Below are 18,494 nucleotides of genomic sequence, written 5' to 3'. Positions count from 1 at the left end.
TAATTAATTTGTTTAGCTGCTGTATCCTTTACTAATTGTAAATTAATTTATGATAGAAAACATTATTTAGTCATATTTTTACATCGATTCATCGATATCTAACAAAGCCCATTGCCTAGCATTTGTGTATATGTTTATGTATATTTTCGTGGATGTGCAATGTCTTTTGATAAAATTCAGCATTATGTAAATAGATCCAAGCTATAAGTCCAGGAAAGCCAGGTGACAGCATTAATGATAATATATACTATTTTTGAATGCCTACATTGTGCCATGTAGTTGAGACATATTCTGTAAGATCAGTCCAACAATCTTCAGAGGCAAGTGTTACTGGTCACATTTTCTAGATAACTAAATAAATATTCAAAGATGTTAAGCAATTGTCTAGATCCATCTAACTCCAGAACCTTTATATCCATAAAGCCAGGTGCTGTGGAAAGAAGGAGAAGGTGTCATGAACAAGAGATAGAAAGGTCTTGATGATAAGCTTTTGCCTGTCTTGAGTTTGGCTCAGATTCCCAGTCTGTCCACTAAGATCCTAAGGTATACTAGGAAAACTCATTTTGTGTTACAAAAATTATATTTGGATGAGTAGTAAGAGAGAATACTGGGTAGTCCAACACTCCATACACACATATAAAGTTACTTTTTGATTGTAGAGCTGTCATTTTCAGTTACGAGGTGCATAATCACGTGTATGTGCATATGCATGTATGTGTGTCTGTTGATGTTTGAAAGCCCAATATTTGCACTCCTTCAAGTTTCCTGACAAATCTATTTTCAGAGAAAAATCAGGATACTTATAACTTAGTGTAAATTGTTTATTGCATTTTTGAGAATGCTGCAAATCCTTTCTTCTCTTCACTTGAGCTACTAAGCTGATGCCTAAAGCTGATTAACAATTTTGTCCTAGAGTATTTAAAATAGCTTTTCTATGTGTCAAATGTGATAAATGTTGAGACTGACCATTTGTGATTCTTTCTCAGATTGGGAATTCCTTTCAGAATCAAATCATAAACATTCATGTACAATGTATGTCTGAAGTGGATTTGTTTAAATTTCTCTGTATCCCATGTTCTGGAGAAGTATTCTGAGTTGTATTTACTATGTTGAGATTTATTTTCGAAGTAGAATTTCACTGTACAGGTGTCTGTCTATTGTGCATTAGTGGTTTTTGCTGTTGTTGATTTTTACTTCCTTGGGTAAAAAGAAATAATCGTAAGTCAGTCAATTTGACAAATATTCTTGTAAGAATTTTCCTATTGTCACAGAGGGGTTTGATGTAATTGAACCAACACTCCTTAACTACTTTCCATATGCAAAGAACTCTGATACATGTTTTTGTCTTATTTAATCCCTGACAACACAGTGAGTTGGGTACCATTATCTCTATTATATAGACAAGGAAGGCAGGACCCAGAAACCATAAGGGAACTGCTAAGGTCACGCATTCGGTAATGATATGAATTCTAACTTGGAATTTTGAGAACAGAACAGAATTGTATAAATTGTCTCCTCAAGTCTCAAAGCCTACTAGCCACCACATATGTTATTTTAGCAGTTCCTCGTGGTCTCAGAGGTGTAAAGATTAAGATACCCAAGACGCCTTTGGAACTGAATTATGCCAGATCCCTAGCCTGCTAAATAGGCCAGAGATTTGAATGAACACAGCATTTCGAGTACAGATTCTTAAAACTTTAAAGAAACACAAAACATGTCTAAAATGCTTTCTCAATCAATGATTAACATGAAAGTTTATTTTCCAGTCATAGGAAAGGAAACCATAGAGATTCTGTGGATAAATAGTTAAGGTTGTAGAGTCAAAAGCTTAGGAGATCACCTGTAATACTTTTTAGCTTAGTGACCTTGTATAAGTTTCTTAACATTTTTGAGCCTTGGTTTCTTCTTATGGAGTATGGAGATAATGGCACTTATGAATCGTTGTGAGGATGAACTGGATGTTCACTGAAAACTATTGTTACAATTATTATCATTCCTTTAAAACTTTGAGAAGGTAAATTACATGATAAAACTTTTTCAATGGTTATTACTATATTTCAAGACATGTGATTGGAACTGAGGTATAAATGGTCTATGCAATGCGGTAATTTTTCCCTCAAGTTTACATTATCTAGAGGGTAGAATTATGCCATTACTTTTGGTTTCTCATGATAAAACATTTTGGGAGAAGTTATCATATAATATTCTTCCTGTCTCTAAGAAGTATTTTATAAACTAGTCTGATAAGTCAATAATTTCCTATAATTTATATAGCACTTTTAAAATTCTTAATATTTTTTCTACTTTATATTTATAACAACACTATGATGTTGAAAAGCTAAATATTACCATTCTTATTTACAAAAGTAGAAAGTGAAATTGAAAGTGAAGTTTCAGTAATCAAACACATGTATAAATCCGGAGTGCCTTCTCTTAGACCATCCCAAGGAAACATTTTCCCTAATGATAGGAAAAGAGAACACAAGAAAGACTGAACCACTTCAAAACTACTGTGATTTTTTCACTTTAATGTTAAAGTCTTTTAGAAGCTTCTCAAGCAAACATAGAATCCATTGCAGAAGTGAGAAATCCATTTATTAATTAACGATAAGTTATTTTCTCTTCAAAATCATGATTCAAAGTATTTTCTCTTACTAAGAGGAGAAACTGAGCCTATCAAGACATTCTGTAATAAATTTTTACAAGTAATGACATACTGAACATGCATATTTTATCTCTGCATTATGATTCAGTCTCAAAATAAAAATTAAAATACTTTAGAATATAACATCTTTGACAGCTCATTTAAGATTGCTACATTCTCTTGTAGAGCCTAGATGTTGTGGGTTAATCAATGTGTGCAGCTTTAAAAGACATAAACAAACATACAACCAACCACAACCAAAAAAAACCCCTCAAAATCCACAAGTGTCCCTACTTCCACTGAAGCTAACGGATGCCATTATAATCTTACCAATAGATGTAAGCAGAAGAATCTTGGTGGGGTTTACCTAGGAACATTTAGAAGAGAACCGACTTGTATACTTTGCTTCTCTTTCTATCTGTCTGAAATGTCAACTTCATGACTGCAGGTGCAACAGAAATGAGGGAAACATAAAGAGAAACAAGAGTCTATAGTCAAGATACCCTTGAGCTACTACTGTACCAGACTTGAATTGTCCATCTTGATTTTGTATTATTATAAACTGAGTGAATGAATGACTTAGTGACAGAATGACAGAATGAATTTCAATTTTATTAAAGTCATTATCATTTGAGATTTCTGTTATATAAGGCCATACCCAATTATTAAGTGAAATACTATCCACAGGAAAAAGTGACCATACATGAGCTCAAGCAGTGACTTAGTGAGGCCATCTGCCTACACGTAGTCACTATCTCTACAAAGACACAAGGTAAAACAAGCCCTTTGAGAAGTGATGGAAAAAAAGACTCATTGATGAAAACTAAGAAATTACACATATATATATATAAAATAAGCAATATATAACCACAATTACTAGTATTTCACTTGTTCGAAATTTTATTACACTAAAAATAATCTCACCGTAGACCTGAAAATTAAAGTAATATCATAAAACCTAATTTGCTTTTGTTTTTGTTTTATATCAGCTCAATTCCCTTTACAACCCAGTAAACTTTAATCTGAAATAAATGTAATAGAGCTAAAGGTCTGCCGTAATCTACAGAACATGTAAAAGGTCTGTGTCGTAGACATGAGCAGCCACTAGCTGAGCACCATACGCATACAGGTGATGGTGAAATCTGCAATTTTCAAGGAAGTTGAGGCTCCCTTTTAGCCCTGTGTCTGGGCTATATTTCATAGCAGCAGCTGGAGTGAACCGAGGCATGGAAGCTCAACCACACAGGCCTTAGCAGGAGTTCTCCGACTGTCTGCCTGCCAGGCTCTGTCCTGTGATCTGTGGGCAACATTCATAAACTTGGTTTCCCGTTAAAAAAAGAAATACTTTAAAAATCGTGTGTCTTCTACTCTTTAAAAACATAGACCTGTGATAACTATTCAGATTAAAATATGACAATTAATACTTGTTTTGTTGATTTAAATAGGATAAGGTAGGGAAAAGACCCCAAAGACCTTTTTTTATTAGACCAAAGTGATAGAAAAACTATGTATTTAATAAACTCAGCCCTGGAACCTGGATTCACACCCAGTTTTGTTGAGAGCAACAGGTGATGGGGCTGTGAGCATTGAAGACTTTGCTGGCAGGCCCTGGCCCTGCTGTCTCTCAGTTGAACTCTTGTTCATTGTGCTGCTCCAGGACCCATTCTCTGACTAGGGGGATATCCCATTTCCCTAGCATATAAGACAACTCCAAAAGGTTCTTTAATTTTATTACTGTAAGCCCTGGATATTTTCTTGTCTCTGTTGAAATCTTGCCTTAGCAACAAATAGCTTCTACCCCCAAAGCTTTTAAATATTGCTAAACTTTATCATGAATAAGTAACAAAACACTGTGATTCATGACAACAGATCGGATCCTCTGTCATCATTTCCCCTAGAATGGATCTTACAAATGACCTATTTTACATATACAATATATGTGAAATATGGTTGTAGTTGCATCAAATTATAAAGCTAGAGGAGTATTTGATGATGAAGAATGAAAATGCAAGCACTATGAGGTGGAAAACACTCGTCATTATCAGTTGTCACCCTAATAGGAATTACAAGTTAGTTTTTTGTCCCTCTTTCCAGTGCAATACATTAACTTTCTAATTAAAGTAAATGAAATGAAGCCAACAGTATAAGGAGAAGTAAGGGAAAACTTCCTTGAGGGGTTTATAGTAGGCAGAATAATGCCCTCTCCTAAAATACCCATATTCTAATTCTAGAAACCTGTGACTGTCTTACTCTACATAGCAAAAGGGACTTTGCAGATGTAATTAAGGGCCTTGAAGTGGGAAGATTACCCTGGATAATTTAGGTGTACCCAATACAATCCCAATGGTCCTTATAAGTGAAATAAGGAGGTCAGAGTCACAGAGAGCACTTTGAAGATGCCACACTGCTGGTTTTGAAGATGAAGAAAGGAATTTCTCCATTCCATAAGACAATGTGGCCTCTAGGAAACAGATTCTCCCCTGGAGTCTCTGGAAGGAAGGCAGGCCTGCCAACATCTTGATTTTAGCCTAGGAAGACCTATTTTCAACTTCTGACCTCCAGAAGTGTAAAATAATACATTTCCATTGTTTTATGCTACTAATTTGGGGAAATTTGTTTCAGCAACAATAGGAAACTAATGTAGAGTTGATATTTGATTTGAATCTTGAAGTTTGAATTCAGTAGAACAATCATGGAAAAGAGTGCGTTCTCATCAAAGTAAACAATAAATGTTAAAGCATGAAGGTTAGAAGGAGAATGTCAAGTTGACTTGCATAAAATGAAGATATATGTGAGGAGATATGTGTGTGTGAGGTCAGATTAGGTGACAGAAGGATATTCATATACTCAAGGAATTTATCTGCTCTTCTAAGGAGTTTGAAAAATGAGGAACTACTGAGAAAGACTTAATTATGTCTACATTTGGGAAAATTTTTAAAATAGCAGTCACAAGAAGCGGAGCAAGACTGAAATGCAATGATAGCAGTTAAGATCCAAAGATCTTAATACCAACCAGGAATGATATTTGATATGACCACCTATATAGGAGCACTAGGATGGAGCAAAGGCATAGCTAAGGTGTTGGCTGGGTACCAAAGGAAAACTTGCTTCTGGTTCTGATTTGCATATGTAGCATCTGAGCAGACCTGGCAGGATCAGAATAGTAACTTACTGTCCAAGTGTCTTAGAAATGCCCTGGCCTCTCCATTACTGCAAAAGAAGATGCACAGTAAGAATTTTCAGTAAATTGGAGACATTATTTAATAAAATCATTCTTAGAAATACACAATTTAAACTTCACTACTGTCCAAGAAAAACAGACTTATTTGTGACTAGAATTCATGCACATTAGCAGGCAAATCTTTAATTTTCTATTTATCTTAGACTTTTAACTACTTGATCTGTATAGGAGGTTAATTCTCTCCATTTTTACACTAATCTAAATAAATAAAGTGTCATTTTGACAAGCTTTTAAGCACTGATTAGTCAACAACAACTACAACAAGCAATCCTCAGGAAAGCTTTCTATTTTTCATACTTCTATATATAGGACAATGAGAAGTCATTTATTTTCACCATGTAATAGAGTTTGAATCTTTGACAGGTTTTCTTTGTTGAAGCAATTTACAAGAGCATGAGATACTAAAACATGCCTTATATTAATTCTTTGTTAAGAAAGCATTTCAAAATATTTACTCACTTGTTTTTCTTGCCTTTGAAGCCCAAATCTTTATTTTCTGTCTTTTGCTGATTTCCCAATATGCTTAGGCGTGGAGAGAGCATGTGTTGAAGTTTCTTCTTAGAACTCACCTATATGAATAAATATATTTATAACAATCTGTGTGAATCTTAAATGTGCATTTTACAAATTATGTATCAAATGCAACATATTATCTGAATATTCTAACCATGCCTTTTTTCTATATAACTCATCAACTTCTTTTCACTCTCAATAGAAGTGTAGACCAGCTATTTGTTAGACCTGAGTTAGTTTGGCATGCTTACATGACTTACAAAGAAGGTACCAGTGGAAACAATGTTTATTATATCTCAAAATATAGATCCTTATTTTTTTCTTCTACAAATTTCTGTGAACCATTAATAAAGTGAATATTTGCAGATATTTTATTCACTGAAAGAAATTGACATTATATTCATTTTGCCTAGGCATAATGAAAGGGCTATAATAAAATAAATTAAGACATACTGTGAATATTTCAATATTATGGTACCATGATACTGCTGTAAAAGTATTAAGACAGGAAATTGAAACTGAAAATATGTGGGGTCCGTCTCTGATCAGTAGAAATGTAAATAAACAATTATAAAATAGTAAAGTGATATGAAAATAAATGATTGTGTAAATGTTTTTCATTTTCTGTGAAGAAACAATTAAGAACTTTCTTTTTCAAAATAGAAAATAGACTGATAGTTAGTATAAATCTTAAGACAATGTTAGTAGATGCCTTTAAAGCTAAGGATAATCCACTGAAAATGACAGAAAGATAGCCCTGTTTCCCTCATCATCCCAGTTAAAAATAGCCAAAGTCCTACATATAAGTGAGGCTGTCCTGGACAAGAGTGCATAATTGGTCTGCCTGCTGACCATAGACACATGAGTGAGTTATCAGACAAGCCCAAGAAACAGCAGAATTCCGAATTAAATAAATGCTTGCTCTTTAGGCCACTAAGTTTTGGGGGAGTTACTGTAGCAATAAAGAATTTGTACAAAAATTAGGACCTAGGAAAAGTGATACTATAACACCTAAAATATGTGGTGTTGGCTTTTGGAACTAGGTGGCAGAAAGAAGATGACAAAATGGCAAGCAAATTGTTAGCAAAGCCTAAACAAAAATGGTGAGAAAATTATGATAAGTCTGGTAAAATGGACACATGCTATATAACAGCAAATAAATCTGTGTTCACTTTTGAAATTGATTAAGAAGAACTTCAGGTAGACTATTGAAAGTGTCATCTGGCCTGCACAGTGAAATACACTATCATCAGAGTGAACAGGCAACCTAGAGAATAGGAGAAAACTTTTGCAATCTACCCATCTGACGAAGGTCTAATATCCAGAAATTACAGGGAACTTAAACATATTTACAAGAAAAATACAACCCTATCAAATAGTGGGCAAAGGAAATGAACAAACACTTCTTAAAAGAAGACATGTACATAGCCAACAAACATATGAAAAAAAAAGCTCAACATCACTGATCATCAGAGAAATGCACATGGGCTGGATAAGTAGTTGGAATTAAGTCTATGTAGAGAAGCTTATCACTAACATAATCATAGGTGTTGTTTTTATAATTAGAGTTGAATGAAATCAGATTCATAGAAAACCTAAAAAGTGTTTAAGGGAGTTATATAGGAAGTAGTGCTGCCAGATTAAAAATAAGCTATTTGAAAATTAAAAAGGCTTCTGGGCTTTCAACTTTTTTTGGCCAAGAAGGAACTAAGAAACTTCCTCAAAGGCCCTGTTTTCTAGTATTGTCTTTAGAGTGGCCAAGGAGGTGGGGAAATGGAAGTAAAGTTGACTTGAACATTGTGGGGGTTAGAGATGCCAATATATGCATGGTCAAAAATCTATGTATCCCTTTTGACTCTCCACAAACGTAATTACTAATGGCCTACTCTTGACCAGAAGCATTACCAATATCATATATAGTTGATTAACACATTTTTGTATGTTATATGTATTATATACTCTATTCTTACAATACCGTAAGCTAGAGAAAAGGAAACGTTAAGAAAATCATAAAGAATAGAAACTATATTTACTATTCATTAAGTGGAAGTGGGTCATCATAAAAGTCTTCATCCTTATTGTCTTCATGTTGAGTAGGCTAAGGAGAAGTAGAAAGGGGTGGTTTTGCTGTCCCAGGGTGACAGAAGTGGAAGAAGAGGAGGAGGTAGGAAAAGAGGCAGGGGAGGCAGGTACACTCAGTGTAACTTTATGGAAATATATTGTAATTTCTGTCTTTTTGCTTTTTCATTTCTCTAAAAATATTTCTATACAGTAATAATTCTTCTTCCACCATTTGCTTTAGTATCAGTGCCACTATCAGAGAAGGAGCCTTGTCATAAAAAAAGTCAAAAGCAGTCTTGAATAATCAAAACCTTCCTTCCATCTAATTGTCTAATGTCAATTTGTTTTGTGGCACTGCTTCTTCTATGCCTTTTCCTCATAATCTGGCACTGGTTGGGAAGCACTCAATTCCATTGAGTCATATTCTGTTAATTCCTCTGATGTGGTGTCTATTAGGTCTTTAATTTCTCCAGGACCCAGATCTGGAAAGCCTTCATCTCGCACCTTTTTTTTTCTTTTTGCCATATTCACAATCTCTTTCATGATTTTCTTAATTGGCTCTGTTATAAATCTTGTGAAGTCATGAACAATGTCTGGATACTTTTCTCCAGCAGGAATTTATTGTTTCGGGGTTGGTGGCTTTCATGGCTTTTTCTGTAACAATGATGACATCTTTAATAGTGTAACCCTTTCAGACTTTCATGATGTTCTCTCTATTGGGGTTCTTTTCCATAGAATTGATAATCCTTTTCATAGAGTACTATGTGTAGTGAGCCATAAAGGTCCTTATGATGCTCTGATCTAGAGCCTGAATTAGAGATATTGAGTTTAAGAGCAAGTAGACCACTTCAACACCTTTGGCATAGAATTCATGGAGTTCTGGTTGGTTAGGGATATTGTTCAATATCAAAAGTACTTTAAAAGGCAGTATCTTACTGGCAAAGTGCATTCTGACTTCAGGGAAAAATATAGATTGAACAACTCCAGAAAAAAAAACCTTCTTATTCAGGCCTCCTTGTTGTGCAACTAAAAGACTGGCAGCTGGTGTTCATCTTTTCTCTTCCAGGTTTGAGAGTTAGCAGCTTTATAGATTATGGCAGTCCTAATCATAAACTCCACAGTATTTGCACAAAAATCTTGGGTAAGCCTACCTTTTCTATCTTAAATCTTGGTGCTTGCTTCTCTTTCTAACTAATACATAGTCTTTGTGGCTTTTTTTTTTTTTTTTCCAAAAATGAGGCACTGTTGTCTACATTAAAAACCAGTTTAGGCAGATATCCTTTCTCCTCAATGATTCTCTCAATGGCACCTGGAAACTTGTCTGCTGCCTCCTGGTCAGCAGAAGGTGCTTTTCCTGTTATCTTAGTATTTTTAAAGCCAGCCCTCTTTCTAAAATCATCAAACTATCCTTTGCTGGCATTAAATTATCGAGCTTTAGATCCTTCGCCCTCCTTCTGCTTTAAGTTGTCTTACAATGGCTTTTTCTTCAAATCATATTAGATTCTTATAGGGATTGCCTTTCTCATACAATCCTGCACCCACATAAAAGCTACATTTTCAATACAAGATTACAGGGTATTTTGAAAAAAGTACAAGATTTTCATGCCTGCTGGTATAGTTGCAGTGAGGGCTTCACAAATTTCCTTTTCTTTTTTTACAATAGCCCTTACCCTGGATTCATTTATCTTGAAATGGCAGGCAACCACAGCCACGGACCCCAATATACAGTTTACATTGAGCAATTCAGCTTTTTCTTGTAGTATCATGACTTTTCTCTGGTTCTTCGGAGCTCTTGCCACATCACTAGTGGCACTTTGTGTTGCAGGAAGTCAGGGACCCTGAATGGAGAGACCAGCTGGAACTGCTGCAGAAGAACATAAATTGTGAAGATTTCATGGACGTTTATCAGTTCCCTATAATACTCTTATAATTTCTTATGCCTGTCTTTACTTTAATCTCTTAATCCCATTATCTTCATAAGCTGAGGATGTACATCACCTCAGGACCACTATTGTACAAATTGATTGTAAAACACATGTGTTTGAACAATATGAAATCAGTGCACCTTGAAAAAGAACAGAATAACAGCAATTTTCAGGGAACGAGGGAAGATAACCATAAGCTCTGACTGCCTGCGGGGTCGGGCAGAATAGAGCCATATTTTTCTTCTTGCAGACAGCCTATAAATGGATGTGCAAATAAGAGAGATATCACTGAATTCTTTTCCCAGCAAGGAATACCCTGGGGAAGGATTGCATTCCTGGGGGGAGGTCTATAAATGGCCACACTGGAAGTGTCTGTCTTATGCAGTTGAGATAAGGACTGAAATACGCCCTGGTCACCTGCAGTACCCTCAGGCTTACTAGGATTGGGAAATTCCAGCCTGGTAAAATTTGGTCAGGCTGGTTCTCTGCTCTCGAACCCTGTTTCCTGTTGAGATGTTTATCAAGACAATATGTGCACAGCGGGACATAGACCCTCATCAGCAATTCTAATTTTGCTCTTTGCCTTGTGATCTTTATTGCCCTTTGAAGCATGTGGTCTTTGTGACCTACTCCCTGTTCATATACCCCCTCCCCTTTTAAAATCCCTAATAAAAACTTGCTGGTTTTGCAGCTCAGAGAACATCACAGACATACCGATATGTGATGTTACTCCCGGAGGCCCAGCTGTAAAATTCCTCTTTGAACTCTTTCTCTTTATTTCTCAGACCAGCCAACACTTAGGGAAAATAGAAAGAACCTACGTTGAAATATTGGGGAATGGTTCCCCTGATAACTTTGTGTACTCCCATGGTGTTAATCAGGGCTTATGGTATTGCACTAAGCAGGATGAAAAATTTGTGAGAACTTTGAGATCATTTTTTACTGCAATACACAATTTATTGGAGAGACAACTTGCTCCTGTGGAGATGATTAATGTCACAAGGTGGATTTTAAGTGGATACTCACTACACGTGAGCTCACCATAATAGCAACTGGAGGTGGCTAAAAAAAATCACACTCATACAGTATGTACCACAGTCAGTAACATAGTTATGATTTAATACTACATCTTTACATTCATTTACATTTCTGTCCACTGCAAATGGCACCATGTACAGTTAGTGTTTGTGTCAGCAGTTTCAATAAATTTTAACTTTTTGCAATTGATTTGTGTATACTTTATGATGAGTAAATTATAAAATAAACAAGTATCTATATATATTTTACGCATTCATGACATACCCATATTTTTCTTATTCTTTTATATTTCCAGACTGTATCATTCATCTGAGTTTTTTTCAAATTATCACAAATGTTCAAAGCTTTTTCTAATATAGTTATTGAAAAAAATATCCACTTATAAGTAGACCTATGAAGTTCAGACTCATGTTGTTCAAGGGTCAACTGTAGTTTCAACTGGCAAAGTCAAGAAAGAACACACAGGTAAAATAAAAATCCATAGAGAACAATTAACTTTAGAACATCCAGATTATAAAACAAAAAATAGCACTTAATCAAGGACTATTTCCCACTCCCAGAGTAGGAAATTTGGCAATATTTGCTCAGTAGGATTTCAGAATGCTGTTGGTTTCTGACTACTGTTTCATTCATTCTTTTCCACATGAGAGTATTTGTTATAGCTATCATGCTTCTTTTCTACCTTTGTATGTTAGGAGAATGTGGGACCCATAACTTGTCTTTTTGGTCCTTTAATATCTGCATCAAGAGGAACCATATCAGGACCTGATATAAAATTTCAAGCTTTATGCAGCAATTTCAAGCTTCATGCCACAATTGGATAAAACTTTGGGGATCTTGGGAGGGGATGAGAGGATTTTGCAAGTGGAAGTGATATGACTAGTTGTGGCAAAAGGTAGAGTAATTGTATATTGAAGATCAAGAAATGCCCACAAGTCTTTACCCTCTCGTCAGGGCCTTTCCAATGTGACTTTATAATTCCTCCCATCAATAAGCTCTTACATTTGTGGCATTTTTTTTCCCAAAATGGGACACTGTTGTCTGCATTAAAAACCTTATAAATGTATTATAATTGCCATGTATCTACCTGTCTAATTTTATGCCAGTTCCATACTGCCTTAATTACTGTTGCTTTGTAGTACATTTTAAAATTGGGAAGTGTGAGTCCTCCAACTTTGCTCTTCTTTTCCAAGATTGTTTTAGGTATCCAGTGTTGAGTTGTTGTCTATTGTTAAAAGTAGAAACAAAACCTAGTTAAACATATGTCATTGGCTTTGGACAAAAGAGGTGTTTGGTGCTTTCCCTGTAAATATGAACATGTTTAGCACAGTGCCAGCTACATTTTATGCACCTGGTAAATGTTTATTCCCATTTATGTCTGCTTTCTCTTCACACACAAAGGAGTATCCTATAGTGTAAGATAAATTTTGGCAGCTATTAAATTTCTGTGTGCATATTTTAGATCATGGGATTTTCTATCTTTCAATGCAGTATAGAGGAATAACCTCTAATGAAATGCATGAGATCACAAAGTTAAAACATAGTGATCTTAGTAAAACATGGTGGGAACTTAAATCATCTGGTCTAGCTGTACAGCACCTCGTGTAACAATGCAGGGCCAGATATGCACAGTGCTGACCAAGCTAGGAATGATAATATCTGACAAGCTAGGTTGCTTTGCTTGTTGATATGGTGATCTCAAGAGAGCTGTCAGGCATTTTATGCCTGATGAACTGTAGAGCAGCCTGTGCTTCTCTGACTGTGTTTTTTCCTGTCTGGGATGTAGGGAAATAACAGAGACATAAACCCCCGGAACCTCTATTTAGTGGCGTGGAACACTGAGTTTTTTTGTAGGCTATTTTCTGGGTATTGCTCAAATTTCCCATAGAAAGCAAGAGCCACTAAAATCACTTCTCTGTCTGCTAAAGGGATTTTCTTGTTCTTTAGATCCCTTCTCTCACCTCCACTATTTTGGTCAACATCCCTTTTTGAATTTTCTCCTCTTTCATGAAGGGTTACTTATTATAAGTACATCTTTCATTAGACATTGTTATGCTCTTCTTCCATGTCCTTATCGCTATGAATTTCCTGACTCTCCCTGACTTTCTCGCCAAATCATCTTTTTTGCAAAGGTTTCCCAAACTGGTGTAATTATAATAAAATCTGAAGAGGAGGGTGACAATTTTAGAGAATAGTCAGACACCAAATATACTTTTAAGTAGCTATTGTATTCTAGACATTCTGTTAGCTGCAGAAGACACTTCCATGAACAAGATGGATATCTCCCTTTCCACACTATTAAACAAATACTTATATATGTAGTAAGTGCTGTGAAAAAGTGCACGTTTCCATGGGGAGTAGCATTTGGCCAGAGATATCTAGAGGAAATTGAGACTTGAAGAACAAATAAGGGAAGGTTGATGGAAGGAGCATTCCAGCCAAAGGAAATAATGTATGGAAGCCCTGGGGTGGGAGTAAACACAGCCTATTTGAAGATCTAAGAGAAATTCTGTGTTACTGGAACTTAGAAGAAAGAAAGAAAATGAAGTTGTGCATTTGGAAGGAGATACATGAAGTCAGTCTTAGAGACCACTTTTAGGATTCTACCCTAATGTCTAGGGGAAGATTGATGGTTCATCCAGAAGGCTGGCATGAAGGGAGTGACATTTTCAAAAGATGCATCTATGGATTGGGGATATATTGGAAGGGGGCAAGTTTGGTATGGTTAGAAGATTATTTCCCAAATCTAGTGGACAAATTAAAGTGATATGTGTGTCACGCAAGGAGTATAAAGAAAAAGAAATTAATTTATTAACTCCTTGAAAGACAGAAACTGCAAATCTCGAGGTTTTGGGAGTAGAAGGCATGGAGAATGACATGTTGGTTGTAGCCTGAAAAAGTAGGGGTATGTAGAAGTTAGACATACCATACTGTGGATATTCCAAAATACCAGAATGAGAAGGGTGTGTGTATCACTGTAGGCAGGTGGGGTTATTAACAGTTTGGGGTGTGTTAAATTGCATGTCTGGAATAATACTTTACAGAGGGAAAGCACACACTTCATAACATTCCTAAATATTAAAGTCTATTGAGTTTAAGCTCTTGCTAAGTTAGAAATATTTTTGCCTGCCTGACCTCATCTTATACTGGACTTCAATAAAATGGATTCTTCATTTGAGTAATAAAACTCAGTCTGTTGCTTGTAAAATTTGAGCACACTTCCTCACAAGTCATAGACTGAAGAAGGAGACAGCAGGAGCCAGGGTCCTTGAAGAGAATCAGAAGGTTGATGACTGAGCAGCCTCTGCAAAATACATTAATTTCTATTTTTACCTTCAGATGGGACCTCGAAAGGCAAGGCCACAGGACAAGGAATGAGCCGGAGCAATGCCCTTTACTGACATAGCTTGGGAGTCATGACCATGGACTCTTAATAAACCTGTCATGGTGATTTTCATATTTTGATTCTCTGGAATAAAGCACAAAATTTAAAGGCAGCTCCATGTCATTTTATGAGGAATGAGGGAGTGGAGAAGGTTTGGGAAACAAAAAACAAAAAGGTGCCAATCCATGTATTTTAACAATCAGAGGAAGAAGCTTACTTTTCCCAAGTGAAGTGAAGCCAGTGGATGGCCCTTTCTTGTGCGTTTGTACTGCCGCTTTGCCTTTTGTGGTAGAGAAATAACTTGGATTCAGGAGATTCATATGCTCATGGGATCCACAAAGTTTGTTTTGATGAGACTCTACTGCTTAACCCAGCAAGAGTAGGTAGCCAATATTGCTTGATTTCCTGTCTTTCCTGTGCCTCCTCTCGGTTCTTGGAAACAGACTAAGAAGTTATAATTTTGTTCCCTAAATGCTTCATGCCTGTTTTCCTACTGTGTCTGTTATACATATATGAGTCATTTTCCAAATGTTTAAAAGACAAAAATATTGTGTCAGAGCTCATTGCAGCACCCTGAAATTCCTTGAAGAGACTGAAGTCTCTAATGGAAATTGCTCTGAACCAGGAACCTTGATAATAGCTTTCTATTATAGTTCACTTTGTCACTCACTGGCTGCATGAACCCAGACAAGCCAATATGTGTCTTCAGGCTTCAGTTTCCAACCTGTGTGAAATTTAAAGCATGGATTGGATGATCTCTAATCATGATTTTATGACTTTTTTGGTTGTATGAAGAACTCACTCTGTTAGATATACTCAAAGACTATAAACATACTAACACAATGGTTATCACTACAGAGCTATTGATAAAAAGAAATAGGGAGGAAAAGTGAAAAGGGAGAAAGAGAAGTACAGAGGAGATGCCAGACTTTAGCTGATGTGACTCATTTTAGTACTTGAACTGTTTTTTGGCCAAATAAGAAACTTCATTTAGGTTGTTGCATCAATCAGCTTAAGCTAGATTGTGCTGCAGTAACAAATAATTATCAGCATCATGAAACAATAATTTGTTTTAAATTCACATTTCATATCCAGTATGGTTTGGTCTTGCCTCTGCTTCATATTTAGTCACTTCTGGGCCCAGGCTTACAGAGCAACCTCCACCAGGATATACCATTCTTGAATCAAAGGCTACAATAAAATCACATGAGTGCTCTTAAGCTGCTGCTGAGAAGAGGCATGTTTCACCCCCATTTTCATTTTATCAGCTGAAGCAAGTCACCCAGACAAGCCTGAAATCAGTGGAAGCAGGAAACACAACCATTTTATAACCACAGCAAGAAACAAGTAGAATCAATAATGCAGTTGAGTACAGTAGCATTTTTATGAAAACTGAACAAAATGTAGTGGCCTCATCAAGGTAAGTAAGGTCATCTGACCATAGACATGCTAAACAAAGTCAAATTGTAGTCTACAAAACCATCATTATTGATGATCCATGGAGAATTTGTTCCAGGAACCCTGTCAGATACAAAAATTTGCAGATACACAAGTCTCTGATATAAAATGACGTAGCAATTGCATATAACCCACATACATCCTTTCATACACTTTAAATCGTCTCTAGATTACTTATAATATTTAATACAATGTAAATGCTGTGTAAATAATTGTTATATTGTATTGTTTTTTTCTCTTTTTTGAGACAGGTCTCGCTCTGCCACCCAGGCTAGGAGTGCAGTAGAGTGACTACAGTTCACAGCAGACTCAACCTTCCAGGCTCAAGCAATCCTCTCACCTCGGCCTCCCAAGTACCTGGGACTACAGGCACACTCCACCATTCCCAGCTAATTTTTGTATTTTTTGTAGAGACATGGTTTTGACATATTGTCCAGGCTGGTCTTTTACTGTCAAATTGCTATATTTTATTGCTTTTGTTTTTGAATATTTTTGATCCATGATTGAGTCCATGAACATGGAACCTGTGGACATGGAGGCCCAACAATAGTACTTAATGTCTTTCTAACACAGCTACCTTATGAACTCTGGAAAAAATTGTATGCCAGCCAAAGCAGTGGAACAACCATATTCTACTCACTGGATTGTCCTCAACTGTTCAACAATACCTCCCAAACTTGTTCCTGACTTCCGCCCAACATGCAATGACTCCATTCTCATTGTGCTCTTACCTGTTTCACTTAGTTGGATTATTTCTGTTCAAAAATATGTTTGATTTTTAAAACTCAGGCTTTCACAGCTTTTAAAAGTTGTATAAACCACTGTATTTGTTTGATAGATGTGGGTGAATTTGGCTTCCTACAAAGCAATAACAAATCATCCACATAGGAAAGTTACCATTTCTGCAGATGGAAAAATGTGTACCTTGCTTCTCATATCATTGTTTTCATTTTGCAAGATATGAATTTCTTGAATAGTGGTATCACCTACAATTACTTAAAAAATTAAAATAATTTAGGGCACCTTAGCTTGATAGCTTTCTAAAGATATAAACAAGTTATTTGGTTTAATGAGGGGAAAAAAATTGGTCTAAAGGAAAATGGACTGACAGCTTTGTTACATACTAAAAATCAACCAATAACTGTCTTTTAATGTTGTTGGTGATAGTTGTTTTGTTTTTTAAGCAGGAAACACACAGATGTACTCTAAAAATCATTCTTAGTAGAAGTCTTTAATATCATTTTACTTATAGATACTAAGTATAAATCTTCCACTTAATCTGTGTTAAAATATGATATTCTTTTATTTGTCAGTTAATAGTTTGTAAGGACCAGAAAGTAACCATTTCTATAAAGCAGTTCTCTAGACAAGGTAAAATGGTAAACCACCATTAGATGCTTTTTCTCCTTCTTCTCTGTCACGTGATATTAAAAAAGACTGGCCTGGGCATGGTGACTCATGCCTGTAATCCCAGTAATTTGGGAGTCCAAGGCTTTCAGATCACCTGAGGTCAGGAGTTCGAGACCAGTCTGACCAACACGGAGAAACCCCATCTCTACTAAAAATACACAATTAGCCGAGTGTGATGGCGCATGCCTGTAATCCCAGCTACTCAGGAGGCTATGGCAGGAGAATCACTTGAACCCGGGAGGTGGAGGTTGCAGTGAACCGAGATCATGCCATTGTACTCCAGCCTGGGCAACAAGAGCGAAACTCCATCACCAAAAAATAAAATAAAATAAAAAATATCCCAATAACAGGGTTTTCTTGGGGCATGTACCATTGTGCTAAATCTTCCATTGATGAACATATTGCAATCTTTCCATTGTTGCTTCACTTCTCAGCTTTTTATGCAGATATATTTTTAAAATTATCAGCAGACAAAACATGTCTCATCCTTTTCCTCTTTATTCATATTCTTTTCATTTGCCATTTTTCAGTATTTAGAGTATGCTGCCCACGAGTCCCACGTTATAGACTGGCTCACTGAAAGACTCAAACACTTCCTTCAGTCAAATATTCCCAACTGTTATTTCTAACAATTCCTTGTTCCTTGGTAGCTTTATTATGTTGGGCTTTTGTTTTCAAATTCTGCATATTGATTTATAACTAGCTGTTATTTCTAGCTGTGTGATCTTAAACCAGTCACATGAATTCCCTGGGTTCTAATTCTCTTATCTGTAAAATGAGCAAACTATGAGAATTCATCTGTGTTGTTATGAAAATAAA

The 18,494-nt window shown here is 36.0% G+C and overlaps 1 long non-coding RNA gene across 1 annotated transcript in view, besides 4 other annotated features; it reads left to right on the top strand.

Annotated features, from left to right (window-relative positions):
- MIR181A1HG (MIR181A1 host gene) overlaps positions 1–16,757 on the top strand; it is a 129,427-nt gene extending 112,670 nt beyond the window's left edge. The window contains exon 3 of the long non-coding RNA NR_040073.1: positions 16,517–16,757. This is a non-coding gene — a long non-coding RNA (MIR181A1 host gene). The remainder of the gene's footprint in view (positions 1–16,516) is intronic.
- Positions 15,810–17,009: an enhancer, noted in NCBI's record as "BRD4-independent group 4 enhancer chr1:198776880-198778079 (GRCh37/hg19 assembly coordinates)". NCBI's record gives its function as "activates an origin of replication core promoter dependent on BRD2, P300/CBP, MED14 and CDK7 cofactors, and independent of BRD4, by STARR-seq in HCT116 cells {active_cell/tissue: HCT116}" and the evidence as "EXISTENCE:reporter gene assay evidence [ECO:0000049][PMID:35650434]".
- Positions 15,810–17,042: a biological region, named in NCBI's record as "BRD4-independent group 4 enhancer GRCh37_chr1:198776880-198778079".
- Positions 16,873–17,042: an enhancer, noted in NCBI's record as "experimental_1547 CRE fragment used in MPRA reporter constructs". NCBI's record gives its function as "activates a minimal promoter by MPRAs in K562 erythroleukemia cells, with activity observed for the introgressed 1:198776932 or rs12137224 variant allele {active_cell/tissue: K562}" and the evidence as "EXISTENCE:reporter gene assay evidence [ECO:0000049][PMID:34662402]".
- Position 16,957: a transcriptional cis regulatory region, noted in NCBI's record as "Neanderthal adaptively introgressed variant 1:198776932 (GRCh37/hg19 assembly coordinates) or rs12137224 in the experimental_1547 CRE". NCBI's record gives its function as "modulates activity of the experimental_1547 enhancer by MPRAs in K562 erythroleukemia cells {active_cell/tissue: K562}" and the evidence as "EXISTENCE:reporter gene assay evidence [ECO:0000049][PMID:34662402]".

Source organism: Homo sapiens, chromosome 1, assembly GCF_000001405.40.
Source record: "Homo sapiens chromosome 1, GRCh38.p14 Primary Assembly".
NCBI lineage: Eukaryota > Metazoa > Chordata > Mammalia > Primates > Hominidae > Homo > Homo sapiens.
Note: the sequence above shows the minus strand (reverse complement) of the source record. Positions and strands in the feature narration are given on the sequence as shown.